The sequence below is a fragment of the Homo sapiens genome, chromosome 6 (genome assembly GCF_000001405.40).
Source record: "Homo sapiens chromosome 6, GRCh38.p14 Primary Assembly".
Lineage (NCBI taxonomy): Eukaryota > Metazoa > Chordata > Mammalia > Primates > Hominidae > Homo > Homo sapiens.
The window spans coordinates 106,128,254-106,154,940 of record NC_000006.12 but is presented as its reverse complement, the minus strand read 5'-3'; the positions used below and the strand labels follow the sequence as shown (position 1 = coordinate 106,154,940).

Here is a 26,687-nt window from a genome sequence, read left to right as displayed (position 1 = left end):
AAATTGGACAGATAAGAGTCTTTGATTACAAGTAATAGAAAACAACTGAAATTAATTGAAGCCAGAAAGTTCAATTATGAGAGACCCAGCAGGTGGGTCTCCTGGGACCAAGGGTGGACGGAGGCCTGGAAGGCTTTTAGGGCTCTTTCCCCACACCTGCTCTTAAAAAAAAAATTCTATCCATCCTATTCAGTCCCCTCATTCACATACCAGCAACCCCCTCAACCCCATCCTCCCTTTCCCCTCCATGCACAGCATAAGGGAGACACAGCAGAACCAGAGCCCCAAATATCTGCTTTTACAGGGCCAAGCACAAAGAAACAGAGCTGTATCTCTTTAGAGTTTAAAATCCTCAAGAGAGTGCGTCTGATTGGCCCACCTTGAGTCAAGTATCTGCCTCTGGTCCAATCAGCTCTGACGGGAGGGTCGGACAGGGGCGGAGACACGGCAGCCGGGTCCACTAGGCGGTGCTTAGAACAAGCGGCCCAGGATGTGGTAGGATCACTCCAGGCTTGTTAAGCCAACAAAAGAAGAGATACTTGGTACCTGTTCCCCTCTTGTTCACAATCTGGAGACAAAACCTACACATGTAGGGAGACAGGCAATTAAAACTATTTAGCATCAATTACTGTGAGAGAAAAACCCTGGTTAGAATGAACTCTTACGGGAACACATTCTACTTTGTGGAATGAAGTGTTGCCAGATTCTAGAATCACAAATAAAGCCAATGAAGATCCTTTAAAAAAAAAAAAAAAAAGAACTCTTAGGAAATACTGAAATGGCCCATCTTTAGTAGAATAGGTCAATACATTTAGAATATGCATAAAATGGAACCCACAGCACAGCAGTGAACATGAAGGAATTACAGCTACACAGTTCAGTATGGATAAATCTCCAAAGTATAATGACGCATGAAAAAGCAGGTCACAGAAAAACACATATCAGATGATTTTACTAAAACATGCAAAATTAGACAATATACTACTTAGGCATACATATATATGATATAGCTATAAAGAAAAACAAGAGTGGCTAGGCGTGGTGGCCCACGCCTGTAATCCCAGCACTTTGGAATGCCGAGGTGGGCAGATTACCTGAGGTCAGGAGGTCATCAAGATCAGCCTGGCCAACAAGGTGAAAACCCATCTCTACTAAAGATACCAAAATTAGCCCGGCATGCTGGCATGTGCCTGTAATCCCAGCTACTTGGGAGGCTGAGGCAGGAGAATCGCTTGAACCCAGGAGACGGAGGTTGAAGTGAGCTGAGATCGTACCACTGCACTCCAGCCTGGGCGACAGAGTGAGACTCCGTCTCAAAAAAAAAAGAAGAAGAAAAGAAAAACAAGAGTATAATAGACTACATTCTGGATAGTGGTTACATGTGAGGTAGGGAAGGAGAAGGTGATCAGAAAGGGGTAAATGCCTTCAAACATGTTGTAAAGGTCTATTTCTTAAGCTGATTGGTAGATTTGGCAGCATTAATTTTTTGTTATTAAATCTATACTTATGTATTCTTTTTGTTTATATGATATATTCTGTAAATTAAAAAAATAAGTGAACGGTTTTAAGCAAGAATTCAGTCTAATGAAACTATTCCCCTGTCCTGGGTGATGGCTGTGTTATGCTGTCTTGGTCAGGGGATAATAGTGAATAATTCTGTTTGTCAAATGATTTTCTGGTTTTCGTCCACCTAACAATCATTGTGACAAAGAAAGTGTCCAGGGTGGCCTGTCAGCACCGTGGGCAGAAGAATGCCTGAGGTCTAACCATGCTTTTTCTCTGGTTCTTTGGCCTGATTCAAGCTGCAGCGTTATTCATCTCTACTCCCAGCTCAAACATCCCAACCATCTCCACCCAAGAAAGTTGACTAACAGCTCAGCATGTTCCTCAAAACATGATTACAAACTGTTTGGCGCTTTCCTAAAAGGTTAAACAGAGAACTACCATGTGACCCAGCAATTCTGCTCCCATATGTATATCCAAGAAAATTGGAAGTGGAGACTCGAACAGATTCTCGTATACCATTGTTCATAGCAGCATTATTCAAAACAGCCAAAAGATGGAAGCAACCTGTATTTTCATGCTGCTGATAAAGACATACCTGAGACTGGATAATTTATAAAGAAAAAGAGGCTTAATGGACTCACAGTTCCACGTGGCTGGGGAGGCCTCACAGTCATGGTGGAAGGTGAAAACCATGTCTTACATGGCGGCAGGTAAGACAGAATGACAGCCAAGTGAAAGGGGAAGCCCCTTATCAAACCATCAGCTCTCATGAGACTTATTCACTACCATGAGAACAGTATGGGGGAAACCACCTCCATGATTCAATTATCTCCCACCAGATCCCTCCCACAACACATGGAAATTATAGAAAATACAATTCAATTCAAGATGAGATTTAGGTGGTGACACAGCCAAACCATATCATTCTGCCCCTCGCCCTTCCCAAATCTCATGTCCTCACATTTCAAAACCAGTCGTGCCTTCCCAACAGTCCCCCAAAGTCTTAACTCATTTCAACATTAATTCAAAAGTCCACAGTCCAAAGTTCATCTGAGACAAGGCAAGTCCCTTCTGTCTATGAGCCTGTAAAATCAAAAGCAAGATAGTTAACTTCCTAGGTACAATGGGAGTACAGGCATTCGGCAAATACACCCATTCCAAATGGGAGAAGTTGGCCAAACATAGGGGCTAAAGGCCCCATGCAAGTCAGAAATCCAGCAGGGCAGTCAAATCTTAAAGCTCCAAAATGATCACCTTTGACTCCGTGTCTCACATCCAGGTCACACTGATGCCACCGCCTGTTACCCAGTTCCAAATTTGCTTCCACGTTTTTGGGTATCTTTACAGCAGTGCTGCACTCTACCAGTATCAATTTACTGTATTAGTCTGTTTTTACGCTGCTGATAAAGACATACCTGAGACTGGGTAATTTATGAAGAAAAAGAAGCTTAATGGATTCACAGTTCCACGTGGCTGGGGAGGCCTCACAATCATGGCAGAAGGCGAAAGGCACACCTAGCATGGTGGGCAGATAAGAGAGAACAAGAGTCAAGCGAGAGGGTTTCCCCTTATAAAACCCATCAGATCTCCTGATACTTATTGACTACCAAGAGAACAGTATAGGGGAAACCACTCCCATGATTCAACTATCTCCCACTGGGTCCCTCCCACAACACATGAGAATTATGGGAGCTACAATTCAAGATGAGATTTGGGTGAGGACACAGCCAAACCATATCATAACCCAAGTGACCATTAGCAGATGAATGGAGACCAAAATATGGTATATTCATACAGTGCAATATTATCCACCTATATAAAAGAGTCGAATTCTGATATGTGCTACAACATGGATACATTTTGGAAGCGTTATGCTTAGTGAAGTAAGCCAGACACAAAAAGACAGATATTGTATGATTTCACTTATACAAGGTACATGGAATAGGCAAATTCATACAGACAGAAAGTATAACAGAGACAGAAAGTAGAATGGGTTACCAAGGGATGGTGGAATGGGGAAGGGAGAGTTATTGTTGTTGAATATGTGCAGAGTTTTTGTTGGAGATGATGAAAATGTTTTGGGTATAATGTAATAATTGTATAGCATTGTGATATATATGATGGAGTCTCCCCCTGTTGCCCGGGCTGGAGTACAGTGGCATGATCTCAGCCCACTGCAGCCTCTGCCTACCAGGTTCAAGCACTTCTCCCACCTCAGCCTCCAAAGTAGCTGGGATTGCTAGCGTGGGCCACCATATCCAGCTAATTTTTATATTTTTAGTAGAGAAGGGATTTTGCCATGTTGGCCAGGCTGATCCCCAACTTGTGACCTCAAGTGATCCCCTCACCTCAGCCTCCCAAAGTGCTGGGATTACATTCCTGAGCCACCACGCCCGGACTGTTTTCTTTAGTTTGCTTAGACCAGTGGGTTGCTTCTGGCATGGAGAATGTCCTGTCTTTGTTTAAATGGGAAAAGAACATCCCCAGATCCACAGAACCGATGGGAGGAAAGTATCATGACTGGGTAGTTTAGGAGTTTGGGTTGTTCCAGTGCACAGCTGGAGCTGGCTGAGGCCAGAAAGAGATCCCTTGCGGCTGGGAGCGATGGCTCACGCCTGTAATCCCAGCACTTTGGGAGGCCAAGGCAGGAGAATCACAAGGCCAGGAGTTTGACACCAGCCTGGCCAACATGGTGAAACCCTATCTCTACTAAATATACAAAAAAATTAGCTGGGCGTAGTAGCAGGTGCCTCTAATCCCAGCTACTTGGGAGGCTGAGGCAGGAGAATCGCTTGAACCTGGGACGTGGAGGTTGCAGTGAGCCGAGATTGCTCCATGTACTCCAACCCTGGCAACAGAGTGAGACTCTGTTTAAAAAAAAAAAAAAAGAAAGAAAGAGATCCCTTGCAGGAGCTGAGGCATGCATGTAGCCGGGCCTTACGCGGGGCCAGAGCCACCTTATGACCTTCAATGGCACTCATGACTATTGCCTCCGTAGGTTCCTCCCACCACCATAATCTCACTATAAAAATTATTTTTATATAACTTTAAATACTTCAACTTTTTTTTTTCTTAGCCAAAATGTAATTTATTTTTGTAGGCCCTAAACATTTTCTTTCTTTTTTTTAGAGATGGGATCTCATTATGTTGCCCAAGGAGGTTTCAAACTCCTGGCCTCAGGCAATCCTCCTGCCTTAGCCTCCCAAAGTTCTGGGATTACAGGCATGAGCCACCACTCCCTGCCCTTTTTCTGATGTGAGACAAAAATTAAAACAGTGTGTAGGCCCCTATAAGTATCATGGGCTCTAGGCACTGTGCCAACATATATAATGGGTATGTTGGCTCTGGGAGGAACTGGACACACTGTCTTATATTCTACCTCTACAGCTCATTCTCCTGGGGCAGTAAGGGAGTTTGAAATCATCTTGTGCTACCTCTCATGTGAGCAGGAATCCCACCAAGGCCTCTTTGACATGGAGTCATATCATCTCTGCCCCCAGGGGTGGGATCTGAGCAAGTTCTTAGTAGCAAGCTATTGGCCTAAAGTCTGCATCCCCCTAACTTTCACCAACTGCTACAAATCCTGCCCAACATGGAAAAACACAGTGCAAGTTTTAAGTCTTTGAACTATCTGAGGAACTATTATGTGTCATCACCACCACCACCTCAACACAAGTTCTCTGCTCCAGATTAAGCACCCAAGGCCTTGTGATGGGGGATTTGTACACCCCTCATCTTGCCAAATGCCCGCCTCTGGACAAGAGCAAATGAACCCCTGGATGTGGTCTGATGTGACCACAACTGTTACCTCTGCTGTGACATCATCATCCTTCTACTGCTTTCATTTATCAGTAGATAGATCACATGCTCAGCATACACTAGCTCTGTGATCAGTTAAACCCCATAGTTCTTTTTTCCCCCCAAACTAAAGTGAAGCCAGCCTCTCTCAATCTCTACCCACCATTGGTTTTGTTCAGCATGGAGACTCTTCACTTCCCTCCTCACAATCATGTCAAGGTCCTTGTTCATTCAGGATAAAGGTTGTCCTTTCTGTGCTTGGCCATCTACAGACTTGACAAGCATGCATTCTTTGCCTTCATTCTGCAGTGTCAGAAACCGTACATCCATTTTCAAAGTTGCCTGTCATTTTATTTTGTTGTTGTTTTCCTGTTACTGAAAGTTGAGTCCGTGCCCTGATATGGTTGAAATTGAGAAACTTCCATTTTTGACTTGTGATTGATTTTGGCATTCTAGGGAAGAAGGAAATTAACGATTGGAGTTTATTTGTCCTTTTATTCTGGAAAGAACTCCTTTGATGAGAGGTTTCTTTTCTTTTATTTTCTAAGTCACCAGGTGTAAGGCTAGATGGGATGAGACAACCTTCCAGGAGAGAAGACCTATCCTAGCCACACAGCAGTAGACCAGTGCTTCCGTGAGGGGTAGCTAGGAAAAGGTAGTGGTGATGAGGAGGACCAGCAGTAGCTTGTAGGGAATCTGATATCTACTTCAACTTTCTTTTTCTGTTCTACGATTCTCACATGTTCTGTTGGAACTGAGTTAGTTTACATTCTTAAAAGTGGTATTGTCACTCTTCAATAGTATTGAGGGCCAAACCAAAGTTTTACGAGTAGGAATGAAGACAGCATTTAGAAGAATATTCTGTTAATGCATATGGTAAAATGTTGACTTTTAAATTCCTGCACTTGCAGTAGTAGATATCTGCTGCTTTTACTTGCCTTTAATCCTTTCCTGTCTTTTGCAAACATACTCCAGTTTTCTTTTGGGGAACCATTTCTCCAGCATACTTGATTCCAGTGGTTGGGGGGGCACCCCCATACCCTGCCTTTACTGGCCAGTATGCATCCTAAACCTAGAAAACAAGAGGGATACATCCTCCTTTCACAGTGACCTCAGAGAGGGGCATGAGGTCCCTTGGGACAGCCCATCACTTCCAGGACTTCTTGCTTGTGCTATCAGTAAAGAAGGGCTCTATACCTGCTGGGTGTTGCTCTGCTGGAGGAAGTCAGCCTGAACTTAAGTATCCACCTTCACCCCAACACAGGAGCCCTGACTGAGGCCAATGCCAGATCAAGATGGAGAGACTCGGGTGCAAATGACATCGTTTGCTCACAGCTATACTGAAGCTACTTTGGAATTCGCCATCTAATTCAGTTTGAATGGAGTTTCTGTCACTGACAACAAAAAGAGGCTAGAATAAGGTTATCCTTTTTAAGAACTGCACTAAAAATTGTCTTCCTGGAAAAAATAATTGACTTGGCAATTGTATTTTATTTTACGCTGGAATTTATGAATTATTAGATATATTAGAATATGAGTGTGATAGTTCAAGTGAAGCTGTTTTAAATGAGTGTACAAGCAATATTTGGAGATTTAAGTTAATGCAAGTGTCTTAATACTCAAACAACAATTGGACAAGGTAAACACAGGCAAGCTGATTGCTATGTAGTATTTGAGACGTGGGGAAAACATCTTCAGTTCTTAGTGTGTAAATAGTTTGGACAGTAAACTAGTCCTACCAGCTCCTTAGATCAAACCACAAAAATGAAAGAGGCAAAGAAATGAAGGAAGCAGGCTGATTACATTTACATTTAAATTGCAGTTATTAGGAATATTTTATTTGCCACATAGATAAGACACAGCACTGCCAATTCGTGTCTGGTTTAGAGTTTGCCCACTAGCAGTGGGTGATTGGCTTGGTCTGGACTGGGAGGCCAATGCCACACCTCACCTATCACTTTTTCCTGAACTCCTGCAGAAATGTCTTTTGTGGTGAGTGTGCATAACTTTGTTGTTGTTCTTAAGTCGTTGTTGTTCTTAAGTCTTTGTTGACAGACAGATGTGATCCAAGTCTCAGATCAGAAGGCAGGGAAGCCCAGATTTTAATTTCAGGTATAATACTGAGTCCCTGTGTGGCCTTTACAAGTCAGTTAACCTCCTGGCCTCAGTTTCCCTGTCTGCAAAACAAGACTCATAATCCAAACTTAGATGTCTCAGTGGGCCACTGTGTACATTAATTATTGTTTATAGCGCAAGTGGAAGTTGAGCTGTGTTAATTATTATTATCATTCCTGGGTCTTCCAGCCAAGTTTAAACCAAGCCCTCCTCTTGCTTTTAGTTCCTGAGATCTGACAGATACAGCCATGAGGAGGGCCATACATCAAGGTGACTCAGCAGAGGGTGCATGCCTCACCCGGAGAAGGCAACTGGCTCCAAAGCCTTGGCTCTGGGGATGTGGGGCAGCCCAGGTACCTATGGCTTTGTTAGAACCTCATGCTAACAGAGCAAGAGTTCTGAAGCTGCTGCCACACTCCTGTCCCTCACCTCTTTGTGTACCTGCCATTTAATTTACCCAAGAAGCCTGGAGATCAATAAGAGGAACTCACCCTGTCATTAGACAGGGCCCTAAATTGCAAGTTGCAGCTGGAGAAGCTTCAGAGGCATTGTGATCACTCATGAAGAAAGATGACTAATCGCTTTCTTCTGGTCACTTATTTGGCTTATGACTTTGGTTTCTCTACTCTCTAAGTACAATAGCTATCAGATTTCCATGTAACTAGGTAGTGACAATCAGTATGTCCAGTTTCATTTAATACACTTGTTTGTGGGCTCTGCTACCTCACCTAGGCCAAATTGCTTAGTTGTATTGTATCCTGCCATTTTAAAGCTTGGGAGACAGGCGAAGGAGGGAAAGCTCACCTCAGTTGACCAATCGCCATCTCCATCAGCATCAGCATCAGCATCAACATCACTAGTGAGTGTCCAGGAGACATCGTGTGTTTAACCCTTTGCAGTGAATTTAATCTCTATGTATCCAGTGCAAGTTAGACAAACAGTTCCAACAGGTTTGGATCTCAGCCGTGTGCAGAACCCTATAGTTTAGAAAAACAGCACCAAAAATACACCAGCATTCCAAAGAGCAGGGGAATTTATCTTCTACCATGGTTTGAAGCCAGCTGTTCAGGGCACAGTTGCAACCAATGTCCTATATTACTTTTCTAGGCAGGGACCAGAGCAGTCAGTTTTTACGGGAATGCTAAGCCCCCTGTAAGGCAGCATCCTTACCCACTCAGAATGGAAGCCAGCTCTCCAAAGGTTGACCAGGTCCCTGCCTGTGTGCCTGACATCCTTTCTCAAGGAACATGCACACCCATGTCTATTGGCACGGACTTGTAACTATCTCCTTCCGAATTTGGTCCTTGATGTTAATACTGACTCCCCTCCCCACACACCCCAGCCTTCACTTTCCCCCAGCTCTGCAATCCCCGGGCAGACAGGCAGGTCCCACCGGGCTCTTTTGTCTGCTCAGCACAGCAGGCAGACGTCGGGGTGGTGGTGCATGCTAGTTAACTAATTAATGATTGTAAAGCACTTTGAAAACATAAAGAACCAGATAAATGCCAAGTATTATTGTTATTAATGATGAGGAGGCTGTTTAGTCATCCTCAGCCCTGAACTCGGCTCACTGCTCCCACTGTGGCTGCAGGCTGATTTGAGAACCAGGATGAGAACTCCCCTCCTCCCTGCAGGCGCTGTTTCACACTGAGTCAGTGACCAAGGTGAAGGGCCAGGAAACCTTCTCTCCTCATCTCCCACCTGCTGTCAAAGCACTGCCTACTTTGTGGCTGTAAGGCTAACATTTACCGAAAGCCAGGGTTTGAAACTGCCTCTCTATTTCCCATTCACCTGTTTAGTAAGTTCACTGATGTTTACTTGAGTGCTCGCTGATGGTGATAAGACTGCCATCTCTGTCTGAGGACAGCATGCAACCTGAAATGAAGCCCCACTTTTCATTTAGTAAAATTCCATGAGGATGGATTCACTTCTGCAAGGATCTCTTTTACATGTTTTGGGGGCTTGATATTTTCTTATAGATGCCTCTATGTATATTTGTTCCTTTGATATAGCAACTCTGTCAGCTGGGGAAGGCAGATGTTATTTTCCCCATTTTGCAGATGGGAAACCTGAGGGTCAGGGACATGATGAGCCTTGTATAAGGCCCCAGGGGCTCTAGAATCTAGTGGCAAGGCCAGAGTTCACTCCAGCTCGCCCGAGCCCCGGGCTGAACAGTGCCCTCTGACATATGAGGTGACTGCAACAGACTCCAGACACCTGGCAGGATGTGCAAAGATACGTTAAACAGCTTCTTAATATGTTCTAGCAAAGCAGACACTTTCAGAAACCCCATGGTCTCTGCATGGACATCTGACCTGAAGCTCCTTTAGCCACTGGCTAGCATTGAGGAGTTCTCCATGTCTTGTTTCAGGCTTGTTATCCTGGAATCTGACACTCTCTCAAATGCTTGGGCCGATAAGACCCTAGAATCCGTCTGTGTAATATCCCCCCTCCACAGATGATGAAACTGTGGGCCAGAAAAGTCCAATTACTGGTCATTGATGCCAGAGCCAGTAAAGGGGTGAGGCTTGCTGCATGCTTCTCCCACCCTCCTGCAGGGCTTCTGGCTCAACAGCCAGCCACCATTCAGCCTCTGGATCTCTACTGCTAGATGGGAAGGTTCCAGGGGGTTTCACGTCTTTTGTGCTTTTCTGTATTTTCCAAATTTTCTTCATTGAATGTTTTCCAAATTTTCTTCTGAAATAAATTATAGAAGGAATCAGAAAACGGGTCCGGGTGCAGTGGCTCACGCCTGTAATCCTAGCACTTTGGGAGGCCGAGGCAGGGAGATCACCTGAGGTCAGGAGCTTGAGACCAGCCTGGCCACCATGGCAAAACCTCATCTCTACTAAAAATACGAAAATTTTCTGGGCGTGGTGGCAAACACCTGTAATCTCAGCTACTCGGGAGGCTGAGGCAGGAGAATCACTTGAACCCAGGAGGCAGAGGTTGCAGTGAGCTGAGATCACGCCACTGCACTCCAGCCTGGGCAACAGACCCTGTCTCAAAAAAAAAAAGAAGTAATCAGAAAATAAATCATTATTATATATATATATATATATATATATACACACACACACACACACAGAGAGCTATCTACCAATCTGCCTATCTGAGGCTCACATGTACATATAACATGTGAGCATTTATATAAGTATGGGGCACTGCATTTCTCTTCCCAAAACTCTCTCTTGGATCGATAGTCTTTCACTGGGGACTCACTTGAAGGTTTAGACATTGCTGGTTGTCTTCTCCCATTTTAGTCCCCAAAAAGGAATATTTCAACAGATCTACAATTTTGTTCTAGGTCTAAACCCCTAAGAGTGAAGCTGTGGGGCCTGGGGGTGGGAGGGATGGTTGGCCTGAGCCTACAGCCAGGGGGATGGGAGGGTGGGGGAACAGCCTCTCTTGGTGGGGGACCACTGCTGCTGTGAGGACAACCTTCATTGCCTCAGAACCCATTTCAAGGGCTTCTCAGTGACCATGAAATCTTGCCGTGTCCCTGCTAACACCACACACTGTGCATTCTTTTGACTAAGATCTGCGGCCTAGTGCTGTGGCCTAGGTGCTGTGAGATTTCTTTTTTTAAGTAGTAAGTTTATGGTGTGGTTACATTTGAAAATTGCAGCTTCAAAATACATCAAAGTTCAAACGCGCATCCACAATGCTACCGTGGCCTGGAGTGGAACCCTGCAGCAGAGCAGCCCCAGGCACGGCCCCGCGTTCCGCCCTCTCTTACCCCTCCCAGGCAGTTCAGAGCAGCCCCTGGGGCTCCCACTGCTGCGCTGGCACAGTGGGGCCACCGCCCGGCTCACAGGGGCAAGGTGAGGTAGCAGAGCCAGGAAATTTGATTCTTTTCACTTTCTTGTGAGGAGATACTTTATTCCTGAAGAATTCTAGGGTGTAGAGAAAGCAGAGGAAAGACAGCATCCGGGGTGAAATACCACCAGCCAGGCGGACCCAGCCAGATGTGCCAGACCCACTGGTCGAGGGGAAAGTGAACCGGGTGTGCTCCAGCACAGCCAAAACCCTCTTTGGGGTTTTCTGGCATGGGGATAGCATAATTCACATGGCGCAGCGATTTAAAAAAGAAAAGAAAATTAGCCTCCCCAGACTAGAATCCTCACCTGTCACCTACCTCCCACTCTGCCTTTCTCAGCATAGCTAATGTGAATTGTGTGCTTTCTGTGCCAGGCCCTATTACATACAGTCTCTCATTTCACTCTTATATCCACATAGGAGCTCAATTTTACAGAAGAGGAAACTAAGGCACAGAGAGGTTAAGTGGCTTGTCCAAGGACACACAGCTAGAGCACGATAGGCCTGGGATTTGAATGGTCTTCCTGGCTCCAAAGCTCATGCTTCCCACCTCTGGTATTTAGGGACCATAATCCCATTGGAATCTCTCTAATGGCATCAACCCTCTCAGTCAGTCAGAGGGCCAAATGGAAACAGAAAATATTTCAGGATCTCTTGTAAGCCTGAAAGAATTGCTTAAGAGATGTTAGGAAGGCAGGAGTGCTGGTGCTGCTTTTCTGCATTTTGAGTTCTGGTTGGGCATTTGTTGCCAGGGACAGTCCCCTTGGTGCAAGAAAGGAAGCACCCAGAGGAGATTTGCTGCTGGAAGGGCAGGATGTATGTGCGTGTCTGTGTGTGACCCTGCCACCCCCAGCTCAGGATGGAGAAAGCCAGGGATTCTTAGCAGGCAGAGAGACTGGTTTAGTTGCTTTAGCTGCCCGTAATTTGAACTCCTCAACACCATTTCCACTTCCATCCAAATCCACTTACACATGCTGCTTGAGTCCTTCTAACTTTATAAGCATAAAGGCATAGATGCTGGAACAAAAGGCTTTCTGCAACCCTTCCCACCCACAGGAAAGGTCTGGTGTGGGCAATTGTGCCTTTGTTTGGCTTCACCTTGCTGTGCCTCCAAGGACCCCACCAACTACGCATTGAACTTGCACTTCCTATTCACAGAGAGTGCAGCTCTCAGTAATCCACATTAAGGCTTTTGGACTCAGTTCTGCATATTGTTCCTATTTTACATCCTACCTCATCAACGTGAGGCCATTCCTCTCCCCTGAGGAGTGACTTTGGAAGAGTGTGACTGGCAGGGAAGCTGAGAGCTGAAGAGTCATGCCCAGGATGGAACTTAGCTATAGAAAGCCTTTCATCTGGCCGTCTCTCAAAGCCCTGAGGGCTATAATTAATCCTCACAACACCTCTGCCTGGTAGGTAAGTGTGATCGCCTCATTTTTATAGATTGGACAGGGAGGCATGGTACTATTAAGTGACTTTCTTCAAGGCAGCACCTCCCTCAAAGAGCTGGGACTTGATCATGGGGTGATTCTACTTCTGAAGTGGGGGGAAGAGCAGACAGTGATACCAGGCTGAGTGAGCAGGTCAGGCCCTTGTCACCTGACCACCCTTCCCTCCTCAGTACACCAGCACACCCTAAATGTGGCTACTAGTAGGGGGTTTCAAAAGCGTCTCAAAGACTTAAGAAGTCAAAGGGAGGGTGAGGAGTAGAAGAGAAAGAGAATGAAAAGCAATAAATAGCCCAGGCAGAGGTTAGAGGTTCTCTCTGACTTCCTGTAAAGTATAATCCGACCAGCCACATGTGAGAGAAACCAAATGTCATGCAAAGCAGTGAAATTGTCACCCTCAGGATGCGGGGCGGGGGGCCCCTGAGACGAAAGGTCAGAATAATCCCTTCTCTAGCAAAGCTGAAGTCCCAGCACTATTTTTAGAAGCTCCTAGAATTTGCAACCTATTTTTAGGAACTCCTAGAATTTGCCACCTGCTAAGATATAAGAAGAGCCAAAGAATTAGAGTTCATCACCCTGGAGTGTACAGTCAGCTCTCTCCACCTTAGCCGATGGGCTTCTGAGAAGGGTACGTAGAACAGATGTTAGTTAAGTGAATCACCTTGAACACACTCCCAATGGTTAAAGGACTTGGGTGGAGAGCCAAGGTGAAGAGCCAGTCATCGCCCTGCCTGTGCAGCTTAAGTTTAGTCTAGTGGTTAGGAGTAGAGCCTTTGAAGTCATGCAGACCCGAGCTCTGACCTCAGCCCCACCTCCCACCGTAGCCATGTTGCCTGGAAAAGTGGCTTGACCTCTTTGAGCCTTAGTTTCTTCATCCATTAATTAGGGCTTGCCATGCCCTCCCTCTCAGGGTGATTGTAAGAGTTCCTTATGATCATACTAGTTCCTGGTAAGCATTCAATGAACAGCAGCTATTATTACACTCTTAAGTTTTATGTGTTGTTTTTTTTTCTTTATTAAAAGGATATCTTTTTTATTTATTTATTTTTTTGAGACAGAGTCTCGCTCTGTTGCCCAGGCTGGAGTGTGGCACAATCTCGGCTCACTGCAACTCCGCCTCCCTGGTTCCAGCGACTCTCCTGCCTCAGCCTCCCAAGTAGCTGGGACTACAAGCACATGCCACTACACCTGGCTAATTTTTGTATTTTTTAGTAGAGACAGGGTTTCACCATATTGGCCAGGCTGGTCTTGAACTCCGGACCTTGTGATCGACCTCCCAAAGTGCTGGGATTACAGGCGTGAGCCACCGCACCCTGCCAAAAGTGTATCTTTCCTAGCTGACTGAAGTGATGATTGGAGAACTCAATTTCCCTAGGATTCTAAAACATACCATTCCTCTGAGCTGGTTTAGAGCGCCCTCTAAATCCAAATCTATGAAACACGATTGATTTTGCTTGGCCTAGAAGTGCCCTTGCTCATGTCCCTGGGGAAAAGCACAGATCAAGATGGCAGCCTACATTGTTTCTGGGCTGATCCAGACAGTCACTGAGCTGAGCCCACTCCCTTGGTTTCTCAAGAGGACCAGCACTATTTGTCTCATAATAGAAGTTCTGAAGTAATGGTTGAACATTTTTCAGTTACCCCCTTGAGAATTTGATAAATATTATAGCTCTCTCTCTCTCTCAAAAAATGCCTGTGTACACAAAGTTTGTGCCGTTGCTTCTCATTATTCGTGGTGGTTATTCTATAAACTCACTTGGGACACTGAATTAACAAATTCTGAACCATCACTCCAGGGAAACATATGGTTAAGTTCCTGAGAGCCCTGGTCACAACATTTTCATCAACTGATCAATATATAACCTTGTGCCATGTGTGTTTCTGTTTAAAGATCCCTAATTTTATACATATTGTTGATTTTGTTAACATAGAACTCACAGCCAACAGCACCATTCATGCCCGAAGGAAGCTTATCTAGCCCATGGATTTTCTCCACAAGGTATATCACAGCCTTCTTGCACTTAGGAACATGAGATGCACCTCCGCACTACACTCGGAGGTCATTGTAAATGGTGAAATCACTAACAAAATACATAAAGAGGAAAAAAACATGGCTTTGAATAGACTGCGGAAAGTCACTTGTTTACAGCATGAGTGCTGCGACAAGAAGGCAAAGTGTCACCTTGTTCAACCTCAGCTGGGAATGTGCATATTAGGTGACTCGAATGTGCTGCTCTGCATCTGTGCATGTCTGCAGATGACTGCAAATGCTTCATGAGTGTTGATTTGGGGGTTATAAAGTTTAGTGAGTAGATAAATTTGCAAATACAAAATCTGCAAATAATGAGAGTTGACTGTATATAGTTTGGGTATTCGAAGCCCATGAAAGCCAATTCTATGGGAGTTGGGACAAAGGGAAGCATTTTATTTTTTGCAACCCATGGGAACCTATTTAAAGTAGGAACGAGTAGATGTCTTTCTGTAAAGGTATAGGCATCCTTTACCAGGCATTTCTATTCTTTTTTTTTCCCCTGATATTTTATACCTCTGAATTTTTCTCAAGACCTGGTAATTAAAATCAGGCATCTGAAAAAAGAAACATATTATTATAAAAACTAAGAATATTTGGTGCTTTCTTACATTTATTATTATTGGACTTAGCAGTAAAAATGTTTTTCTTAAGCAAGCCTGATTATCACTCGTGAAAAATATGCATATATAGGCTGGGCACGGTGGCTCACACCTGTAATCCCAGCACTTAGGGAGGCCGAGGGGGGGGCGGATCAAGAGGTCAGGAGTTCAAGACCAGCCTGGCTAACATGGTGAAACCCTGTCTGTACTAAAATTACAAAAATTAGCTGAACATGGTGGCATGCACCTGTAATCCCAGCTACTCGGGAGGCTGAAGCAGGAGAATTGCTTGAACCTGGGAGGTGGAGGTTGCAGTGAGCCGAGATCATGCCACTGCACTCCAGCCTGGGCGACAGAGTGACACTCTGTCTCGGAAAAAGAAAAAAAAAAATGTGTGTGTGTGTGTATATATATATATTTTTAAATATATATTTCTATATATAAATATATTTATAAATATATAAAATATGTATACAAATGTATACATATATGTATGTATATATACACACATATATACACACAGATACAGAAAGATGGGAAAGAAACAGGAAAAAAATGAATAGTGTTAGGGTGGTAGAATATGAAATCTTTTTTTCTTTCATAATGTGCTCCTCAGTGTTTATGTTATGTGATCTCAGACATAAATTAACAACAAAAAACTTCAATGAAAACAATATGTCTGGAAGTAGAAAAAGACTAATGAAAATATATTCAAACACAGGAAAATTAATAATCTTTAATCATTTATTCCTTGGAAATCCATCCACATTGGCAAAAAAAAAGATTGAGCTCCGTCTCACCGATTGCTTCTGTTTTGCATGATTCTCTGAGGGCCATGTTATTCATTTCCAGAGTGGACTTCAACATTCTAAGCCCTTTAGGGGCTTTCATTCTGGCAGACACATGATGCTAAGACAGAAAATAGACAACCATAATACTGCAGTCAAGAAGCAAACGGCCCAGATAACTAGTACATCACCAGGGTGGCTTTGGGAACATGTGATTTTAGGAAAATTACCAAGGAGAAGGTCCAGAGAGAAATCGCCAGCAAGAGTGCATGTAAAGTAGTCTATAATGAGACAGGTTGGACACAGGCGTGGCCTATAGCCTTTGAGCACCTGTTGTGCAATTCACATGCCCAAGTGCTTTTGTAAAATTCCCGCTGAAGGCCTCAGCAATCAGCCAGTCCAGGTTTTAGTGAGCACATTCTATATGCCAGTCTGGACTACATGTGGCCGATACCTAGACTGGCTTCAAGTCACTCTCTGCTTGGGAAGTCCCGATTCAGTCATCAGAGAAGCACCCACTATGCAAGAGAACTGTAAGAAGCAAGACCCTGAGCTCCTACTGGTGCCAGCCCATGGTCTAGGCTCTAGGGACAGGCTGCTGAACAAGAGGAAGTTCCTATCTTCGGGGGCTCAGACATTGTCTGTGGCAGAGAAGGACGATGAACATGAAACTGAGTAAATAAACAGGATCCCTTCAGACAGAGATGAAGTGCTGTGAAGGAAATAAACAGCAACATGATGGAGAATGCTTGGCCTCTGCAGGGGTAGCATTTGAGCGCTGGATGCTGGAAAGTGAGCCAGCTGTGGCAATATCTGGAGGGAGAGTTCCACTGGCAGAGGGTCTGTGGTGTATGTGGCAGATCAGGAGGAAAGCAGTCCACAGGGAGAGAAAGACACCAATAAGAAAGGCATCCTCTAGGGAGGTAGAGGAGGTGAAGTAATGCTGGACTTTGTGCTATAGGCTGCAGTTGCTGCTACTTTACCTGTGCTCCTGTAAAGACATTGCTAATCTAACCTTGCCTTCTCTGCCACCAGGCCCAGTGGCACCTCTCAGGCAGGCACTACCAATCAACTGGAGTTGATGAGTGAGGTAAAGACTGTTTCTCATTGTACTATAAACGTTAGGAAGCCTTTCAGGATTTTGAGCAAGGGACTGTCACAATAAAGGCAGTGTTTTAAGAAAGATTAATCTGACCATGGTATGCAATATAACTCGGAGGGAACTGAAGTGGATGTTCCTGAGGCCACTTAAAAGAAAATAGTAATTGCAGACATTATTTAAGCACCTACTACATGCTGATCCTTTATTTATTTTCATCAACCTCAAACGGTAGATATTGTTATCCCTTTTGAGCAGATAAAGAAACTGAGGCACAAAGAAGGTGTCATTTGCCTAAGTGGAGAAACCAAGAGTTAAACCTGAGTCATCGGTTCCAAACCCGCTTGCTATTTCTCTATGCAGAGCTGATATTCTAAGTTTAAGGTGATAAGAATTTGGGGTGGGGTCTAAAAAGATTGGACAGACATGAAAAACATAAAGGAAAAATTAGTGGGAGTTGATGACTGGATATTAGAAGGAAGGCAAGAGTAAGGCCAAAGATAATAACAAGAAAATATGTCTTGGTTAGTGCGTAGAAAAAAGTCTTTAATCGTACACATCAAACTGTTAACAGTGATTGCTCCTGAGGAGTGAGATGGAGAGTTGCAGCGGGGAGGGGAAGACATTTTTACTTGTTACTCTATAAGCTTCTGCCTTTTTTCAATAATTATTTTTAAATAATTTAATAAATAATTTTTAAATTAAATTTATTTAAAAATAATTCGGAGGGTTTTTTTCCTCCTGAGTGACTGAGAGATGCCACTGATGGAATTGAACAGATACCAAGCTTTGGCTTGGGGGTAAAGACAATGCATTTGGTCTCAGACACTGAGTTGAATGAGGTGATGGTGGGAGAGCTGCGGGGCCATGACCCACAGGGTTTTCTTTTTTTTTTTTTTTTTGAGACAGAGTCTCACTCTGTCACCCAGGCTGGAGTGCAGTGGCACGATCTCGGCTCACTGCAACCTCCACCTCCTGGGTTCACGCCATTCTCCTGCCTCAGCCTCCCGAGTAGCTGGGACTACAGGTGCCCGCCACCACGCCTGGCTAATTTTTTTTTTTTTTTTGTATTTTTAGTAGAGATGGGGGTTTCACTGTGTTAGTCAGGATGGTCTCGATCTCCTGACCTCGTGATCCACCCACCTCAGCCTCCCAAAGTGCTGGGATTACAGGCGTGAGCCACCGCACCCGGCCTGACCCACAGGGTTTTCATTGCAAGTTAAGATTCAGGCACATTCGTGGTTCCCAGTGCTGACTCTTCATTTCGGGATGCAGCTAACCCAAGCCATCGTGCCTGTCACTAGAATCCCCACTCGGCAGACCCCTAAAGTTAAGAGCACCAAGGACCCATGGCAGAACTTCAGCACCAGCTCGGCCTGGTGCATGGGAGCAGGGCTGGCCTCGCTCTGGGCGTGTCGTTCCTGTGTGTTTGCTCACTCACTGTGCCCCATACTGGTCCTGGTAAGATGGCTGGGGAGGGGGAGGAGAGGAACACCTCTGACATCCCTGGCCCTTGGAGGGACCTTATGGGAGTGCTTGACCTCTCTGTGCCCTATATGGGTATCTACCTCATATCTCTTTATCTCAAAGCAATGGGATTGTGAGCAATGACAAATAAAAAGAGCTATTTAACAACTAGCAGTTTACGTAATCACAATCATAGCAAAAACAACGATAGTAATAATATGTCCAGGAAAAACAACAGTTCTCTGAAAATTTCAGAGTAGATTCCTGAGGCGGGAATAAGATGCCCCCGTAATCATCTTACTCAAGATGCTTTTTAATAGAAGGTAATAACCAGAAATGAAACCATCAACATAACGTATGCCAGGTCATAAAAAATAATTGTCGGGTCAACCAGGTTTCCCGAAGTAAGGCTTCCCAAGCCTGCTCTTTCCTTGCCAGCTTCAGACTTCATTTTTCACCCCCTGGAAGGGGCGACCTGTTTTCCGGGTTTGGGCTTTTGGAATCAGAGCAGAGAGAGCCCACTAAGCCCCTACATATTGTCTCAACTTCCGGGACTTTGGGAAGCTTTGAACTCCAGGAGTGGGCTGTTTCCTCTGTGGGAGGGAAATGAGTGGGGCAGACCCAGGAGGAACACATTTCTCTCCTGTTTGTTTACCATATGTGTGGCTTCCAAGCAATCTGGTCTGGGCAGGGTAAGTCACTAACATGTCCCTGGTGAGCCCTTGTACGAGACCCCCAGCCCTGCATGACTCGAGGGACTCCATCAGGTCCTGAAGAAGTCGGTCGCGTGGTCACTTTCCAGCCCCACTATCTAGAACTTTCTTTAGAAATTGGCCTGAAAACAAACGTCCCAGCTGTCCGAGCGTGCTACTTGTCCCACTGGCACTGGGAGAACCTGATGAGTCATGCCCTGCCAGGCCCGCACCGTGTGTCATCTTGACAGTTTATGGCCTCACATTTGACCCGCAGTCTCTCTGTCCCCCGGTCAACGCCTCCTGACCCTGGAACTCTACTTTCATTTTAAAAGGCATAATTCTAAAGCATCCTTCCACACTTATCACCTCTGACAGGGAGATTACCCCCAAGCAGCAGAAGGCAAATCTTGTGGTTGCTGGGTGTGATTCGACACTTTACCTGTGTCAGGATCCCTGGCTGAACCGGTGACATTTGGGAAAGATCCCAGGTCTCTGTAAGAAACAGCAGCCTGAGTGTGGTGGCCGTGCCCGGCATTACTCAGAGTCTCTCCGTTGATTCATTTCAGTGATACTGAGAATTGGGGAATCAGGCAGCCACCCTGGTGACATACCTCTTTGTCACATTTAATCACTTAGAATCATCTGACATAATTTAGACTGTTTTACATTGTGTTATTTCAAAGTTTATGAAAGCTGGAGGGTGGACTGGGCCCTCCACGGGGGCCTGGTCACTGGAGAGAGGGCGCTGGGACTCTGACGGCGAGTGGGCTTGTTCATGTCGCATCCTCGTGCCTCCGAAGCCCCTAGTGTCGTGCACTCCTCCCCTAGGGTTGTCCTGTGGCATTCCGTTCCTTTCATCTCTCAGATGAATCTCCCAGTGCGGGTGGCGGCTCCTTCCTTCCTTGGCAAGCCTGTTGAGCCGAAGGGATCGTCTCTGAGGAAGCCCTGCAGTCGTCAGTCCCTCCCCGCCAGGCCAGACCGGGTGGAGCAAATCCCCTCACCTGCCTCATTTCCTCTTCCTCTCCTGGTTCTGCCTGGGCTTGTTGCTTCTCTTCCTTGACTGCCCGGAGTCCTAAGAGCATGACTTAGATGAGTGACATCTTACAGGATCTATGACTCTCAGAACCCTTACAGGACTTTCAATGCTTTCCTTTCCTCTCTCCATCCCAACACTTCCATGGCTGCTGTGGCGCTCGTCTACAAGAAGGGCATTTACCCCACTTAGCAGGCACCAGGAGTGGTGGGGACTGGCCTTTCTCCCTTGTTTTGCTTCCCAGTACTCCAGTCCTGTGGTCACTGCCTCCTTGGGTAGCTGGTCCGTGAGTGTGCCCGGTGAGTGACACACCAGCACCTTCCCAGAGCAGCTCACCCTGTGCTGTCAGCTGTGGCAGCCGAGAGCCCCGTGTGCAGTTCTGCAGCTACTTGCTGAGATGGAAGATACACGCCAGATTTCTAAAACCTGAAACAGTGACAACAAAGAGAATCTCAAATATCCCATAAACAATTTTATTTTAAAAAAAATTGTTTTTTGAGACAGAGTTTCACTCTTGTTGCCCAGGCTGGCGTGCAGTGGTGCGATCTCAGCTCACCAGGTTCAAGCGATTCTCCTGCCCCAGCCTCCCGAGTAGCTGGGATTACAGGTGTGTGCCACCACACCTGGCTAATTTTTGTATTTTTAGCAGAGATGGGGTTTCACCATGTTGGCCAGGCTGGTATCGAACTGCTGACCTCAGGTGATCCACCTGCCTCGGCCCCACAAAGTGCTGGGATTACAGGCATGAGCCACCTCGCCCAGCCCCATTAACAATTTTTATGTGAATTATATGTCAAAATAATAATATTTGGAATACATAGGGTTAACTAAAATATATTTAAAAGACTACTTCACCTGTTTCTTTTTAGTTTTTTGGTTTTTTCTTTTTTTCTTTTTTTTGAGATGGAGTCTTGCTCTGTCGCCCAGGCCGGAGTGCAATGGCCCAGTCTCCGCTCACTGCAACCTCTGCCTCCCGGGTTCAAGCCATTCTCCCTGCCTCAGCCTCCTGAGTAGCTGGGATTACAGGCATGGGACACCACACCCAGCTAATTTTTGTATTTTTAGTAGAGATGGGGTCTCATCATGTTGGCCAGGCTGGTCTTGAACTCCCGACCTCAGGTGATCCACCCGTCTCGGCCTCCCCAAGTGCTGGGATTACAGGCGTGAGCCACCGGCCTCTTTTTAGTTTTTTTAATGTGGCTACCAGAAAATTTGAAGTTACATCTGTGGTTCTCATTATTTCTATTGGAAGGGCTGGTCTAGGGTGAAATGCCAGCCATTACTTGGCAGGGCTCCAGGGACTACAATGCCACCCCTTAGCCTGTTTGAAATCGCTCCAGATCATGGCCTTGAGGCTCATCTCTCAAGTGGTGATTTCCACCCACACAATAAAGATGGGATTAAGGGGGGAAAGTTTTAAAAAATTCCTTTCTAACTGCTTGATTAGCTTGTATTACAGATCCCTGGGGACTATGTTCTTTTAGGCTTCAATTGCTATCAATGTGGTGGCCCCCAAGAAACATGTTTATGACTACTGCTATTATTAGAACCAACATTAATAATAACTGTAATAATCATCTGTTGAGCCAGAGCAACTAAATTATTCCAGGAGACTAAGATGCGCGCCCATGAACTTAGGGCGCTGCTGGAGTGTGTGTCTGGAAAATAAGCTCTTCCAGGAGCTAAATGATGCCTTGAAGTCCTGAAAGAGTTACCAGGAAGGAATATATGGCCAGACAATGTTTTCCTTAACTCCAGGTGGACGTGCATAGACACTCATGGATGTACATAAACATTGCTCAAATCTGTCTGTGCGACCCTATTTCTTTGACTATATTATAAACAGCTCCAGTATGTTATGCTTTCAAATGCTGAATGGCCAAACCCCCACCTGTATGGCTCACAGCTCCATGACAGTTCCTTGGGAGGGTCGGGCAGGAGCTCCAGGTCTCGACCTTTGCTACTGGAGTAGCTTCCCACGGGCCACCTTGTGTCAGATTTCCCTGTTTCCCATCCCTCAGCCTCACTGCACATTCCTCTTCCAGAAACGTGGAAGGCTCCATGTGACTGCCCTGGTTAGAAACTTTCAATGAGCCTTTGTGGTCTGAAGGATAGATCCCAAACTCCTGGGACTCGGCCCTCGTCAGGCTGGCCCGGTTCCTTCTCTTTCTTTTATCTCATCATTCCATACGTTGTTCAAGCCAGCCGATGGGCCATCGTTCATTCCACAGACATGGAATGAAGGCTGAGGTGTCCTGCACTTTCCTAGGCCTTGGGGCTACAAGCAGACACCTTTCCTACCCTCAGGAGTCTACTGTCTGGTGAGAAAATAATTAAACAATCACTGTTTCCATGGTAACTAGGATGAAGGCTTACAGGGGCTGGAGAAGTCCTGTCCTTAGGTCTCCACGAACCCTTGTTCTCCACCTCGAGTGATGCTCCTTGATGACAGAGTTGTCACCTCCCTGGAGGACCCACCACACGGCTCAGCACAGCGAACATGCCCAGGGAATTCTTGGCAGAGATGATTGGTGACAAAATATCAGAAGTGGATGGGCTCTTCCAAGCTGTGTGATCAGTGGTTCTTCAACTTCGTGCCCAGCAGTTCAGGGCTCAGAAGCACCTGGTGAGGAAGGGCTGGAGGACAGTGCCTGGGTGTGGGGCCTGAGGCCATCCCTGAAGGCTTCACGAGAGGCCTTCACTGCAGGACCCTGCCTATGAATTTTACCTGATACCATAGACCATGCACCAACCTGCTGGGTCAGGTGCATTTTCACAAAATGCTTTTTTATTTTACTTATTGATTGATTGAGACAGGGTCTTGCTCTGTTGCTCAGGCTGGAGCACAGTGGGTGCAATCACAGCTCACTGCAGCCTTGAGCTTCCACGCTCAAGTGATCCTCCCACCTCAGTCTTCCAAGTAGCTGGGACTATAGTTGTGCACCACCAGCCTTGGCTAATTTTTCAGTTTTTTGTACAGATGGGTGTCTCACTGTGTTGCCCAGGCTGGTTGCAAACTCCTGGGTTCAAGCAATCCTCCCAACTTGGCCTCCCAAAGTGCTGGGATTATAGGCGCAAGCCACCGCGCCCAGCCAAATTCTGAAATGCTTTCTATCAGCTGACCTTAGTCGGGTCCACATTGGTCCATCAAGGATGCTCTTATAATATTGGACCTCAAGAATAGCAAACAACAGCTCCATCTCCTTCCTCGGGCAGTTCTGCGCCTGTGCCCACTCCCTGCTGCAGGGACTTCCCAACATATGGAGAAGAACCACATGTGTTAAGCCAAAAAAAAAAAAAAAAAAAAAAAGTCCTGGTATACTCTTCTCTTCTTACAGAATGTAAGTGAGAAGTGCCACTCAAATTATTCTTTCTAAGCTGAGGGACCAGTGTCACAGCTGCTAAAAGAATGTTGGCTGGCAACTGTTGAATGACATCTTATCAACAGAAAAGTAAAAACTAGGTTGGGCACGGTGGCTCACGCCTGTAATCCCAGCACTTTGGGAGGCCGAGGCGGGCAGATCACCTGAGGTCAGGAGTTCGACACCAGCCTGGCCAAGATGGTGAAACCCCGTGTCTGCTAAAAATACAAAAATTAGCCAGGTGTGGTGGCCTGCACCTGTAATGCCAACTACATGGGAGGCTGAGACAGGAGAATCGCTTGAACCTGGGAGACCGAGATTGCAGTGAGCCGATTCCAGCCTGGGTGATAAGAGTGAGACTCCGTCTCAAAAAAAAAAAAAAAAAAAAAAAGAAAGAAAGAAAGAAAAAAAGAAAAGTAAAAAATAAAGTAAAACTCTTTCTAACCAGCCATCCTACTTCCTGTTGTTACATAATTGAATTCCAAAATATATTCTCACTGCTGAAACATAATGTGGACTTAAGCTATTTTAAAAAATATGGTAAAGGGGCTTTCTACCTCATCCTTTCTAAGACTCCCAAATCCTGATTACTGAAATAAAAATGTTCCAAATGTAATTTTTTTCTCAGACAGTCTCTTACAGGAATTACTACCAGGGCTAAGCCAAAACAACACTGTGTATTTGGCTTTCCTATCTCACATCACACTGTTCCCTTTCTCCCTCCAGGGCCCTGTTCATCCCCAGGATACAAGGATGCTAGGCTGTCCCTCCAAAGTCTCCTGTTCTAGAACAAAATCATTTGATAAAAACCAACTCTTAACAAGGTTTTAGGAATTTCAGTAATGCCCCCTCAGCAGGAGCATTTGTGTTTTCAGAGAGAGTATGAGAAACAGAGAGAGAGAACCAAGAATATATCACTCCTCGTGGCACGCATCATCTGTGGGGTGAAGAGCCTTTGAAATCTTTCTAATCATACCTCATGGTTGGAGGCCTGGCTGCCCAAATATTTCCAGCCTTCTGGATAATTAAAATACAGGGAATTTCATTTAGGCACACTAAGGCATACTGTTTAAGACTGACAAAATATTGATAACAGCTGAAGCTGAAGGTTGGGTACCTGGAAGTTCATTATGCTATTGTCTACTTTTGTGGATGCTTAGAAATGTCCACCATAGGAAGTTAAAAAGTGCTCTTTAACCAACACCTGGGGTGGTAATTATGTTGGAATTTGGGATGTACGTAGATTGGTAGAGTGAATAAAAAGATTCTGTTGAGTTTGAAATATATTGCTTCATTTGGTCAGCTTATAACTGACAGTTTCATTTTGAACATGAGGAATTAACTTAAATCATTGGACAAATATGCGCCACAAATCCAGTTCCTTTCTCTCTAGTAAAATAATATCTTTATAATCCAGGAAGTAAAGTACCATTATGCAAAAAGGGAGGGATCTTTGTACACAGTCCAGGCCCTTCAAAGAGATTACCAAGCTTTTCGTGTATGCAAAATAACCACAGTCCCAGGCTGACTCCAGCTCTTGCCAGAATTGGTGGTGAAACCTGCACTAGCAGACATGCAGGGTCCGCTGAGATAGTCATACATGCTTTACAGACTCATGAAGCTAAGGCTAATTATTGTTTCATAATCTAAGAAACCTGTCACTTGATGATCTAAAATTATGGTCATTGGAGACTAGTTTAATAGATGACAGTGTGCCTTATCTCTAGGATAACTTGCATGCAAATACACAAAGCAAAACTAGGCTATCCTGAAATCTTAGGGAATGAGTCACTTTTTGCTCTTGATGTTACTGATATCCTTCAGGAAATAAAACTTGAACCATTACATATAGAGATTCCTTAAAAAAGTTATGAACCTCTTCATCATGCTGCAGTTGATCGTGGTCTGTCCCTGTCTTGGTGGCTTCAGGACGTGCTGATGAGCACGGCTACTGTCTTTCTCGATGTCAGGGAGCTGTGGATGGGGCTGTCATCTCTGACATGAATCGGTCTGACATTTGGGCGTCTGCAAAGCTCCTCTTCCAGCTGCTTGGATATCAGTTCCCTCCACTACCCTCTCTCAGGGTGCTGGTTTCCAGCACTGTCCCCCTGGCTCTGCCTTTTCATTTGTCTTTCTAGTCTTCTGTGGACTGGAAAGCAGATCCCCTACCCTTTTAGATTTGTGCATGAAGTCGGAGTAAATAGAGTCTAAAAGAGTCTGAATGAGGGGCTCACCTAAAAAGCCACGAGCTGAGCTTTATCACTGAATCTTATGAAATTCTTTCTGGTGGATCAGAGGCCAGTGTTCTTTTTTTAATTAATTAATTAATTTATTTTTGAGATGGAGTCTCGCTTTGTTGTCCAGGCTGCAGTGTAGTGGCACAATCTTTGCTCACTGTAACCTCTGCCTCTCAGGTTCAAGCGATTCTCCTGCCTCAGCCTCCCGAGTAGTTGGGATTACATGTGTGTGCCACCACGCCCAGCTAATTTTAGTATTTTTAGTAGAGATGGGGTTTCACCATGTTAGCCAGGCTGGTCATGAACTCCTGACCTCAGGTGATCCGCCTGCCTCGGCCTCCCAAAGTGCTGGGATTACAGGCATGAGCCACCGTGCCCAGCCGTGCAGAGGCCAGTGTTCTAAAAGGACAAGGTCTTATCATCAAAATAACTTATATGATCCTCATAAGCATGACATTTCTGTGTTATATTTTGAACTCCATGTTGCTTTTCTTATTTGTCAACATTATAGTGTTTTCCATGCCAGACTTCACCACAGCAAACAATAAATAGCCAGACTCAAAGACATCAAATTATTATTTTTATTTTACTTTTTTATTTTTTTTATTTTTTGAGATGGAGTTTCTCTGTTGTCACTCAGGCTGGAGTACAATGGCGCAATCTCAGCTCACTGCAACCTCCGCTTCCTG

At 45.2% G+C, this 26,687-nt stretch overlaps 6 annotated features.

Moving 5' to 3' along the window:
• Positions 11,073 to 11,367: a silencer, noted in NCBI's record as "tiled region #9287; HepG2 Repressive non-DNase unmatched - State 22:ReprW, and K562 Repressive non-DNase unmatched - State 7:EnhWF". NCBI's record gives its function as "represses a minimal TATA promoter and a strong SV40 promoter by Sharpr-MPRA in HepG2 and K562 cells {active_cell/tissue: HepG2 | K562}" and the evidence as "EXISTENCE:reporter gene assay evidence [ECO:0000049][PMID:27701403]".
• Positions 13,113 to 13,162: an enhancer, noted in NCBI's record as "active region_24878". NCBI's record gives its function as "activates an Ori minimal core promoter by ATAC-STARR-seq in GM12878 lymphoblastoid cells {active_cell/tissue: GM12878}" and the evidence as "EXISTENCE:reporter gene assay evidence [ECO:0000049][PMID:35858748]".
• Positions 19,080 to 20,279: an enhancer, noted in NCBI's record as "BRD4-independent group 4 enhancer chr6:106582537-106583736 (GRCh37/hg19 assembly coordinates)". NCBI's record gives its function as "activates an origin of replication core promoter dependent on BRD2, P300/CBP, MED14 and CDK7 cofactors, and independent of BRD4, by STARR-seq in HCT116 cells {active_cell/tissue: HCT116}" and the evidence as "EXISTENCE:reporter gene assay evidence [ECO:0000049][PMID:35650434]".
• Positions 19,080 to 20,659: a biological region, named in NCBI's record as "BRD4-independent group 4 enhancer GRCh37_chr6:106582537-106583736".
• Positions 19,658 to 20,157: an enhancer, noted in NCBI's record as "H3K4me1 hESC enhancer chr6:106582659-106583158 (GRCh37/hg19 assembly coordinates)". NCBI's record gives its function as "activates a minimal SCP1, AML or CMV promoter by ChIP-STARR-seq in primed H9 embryonic stem cells {active_cell/tissue: H9 hESC(primed)}" and the evidence as "EXISTENCE:reporter gene assay evidence [ECO:0000049][PMID:30033119]".
• Positions 20,158 to 20,659: an enhancer, noted in NCBI's record as "H3K4me1 hESC enhancer chr6:106582157-106582658 (GRCh37/hg19 assembly coordinates)". NCBI's record gives its function as "activates a minimal SCP1, AML or CMV promoter by ChIP-STARR-seq in primed H9 embryonic stem cells {active_cell/tissue: H9 hESC(primed)}" and the evidence as "EXISTENCE:reporter gene assay evidence [ECO:0000049][PMID:30033119]".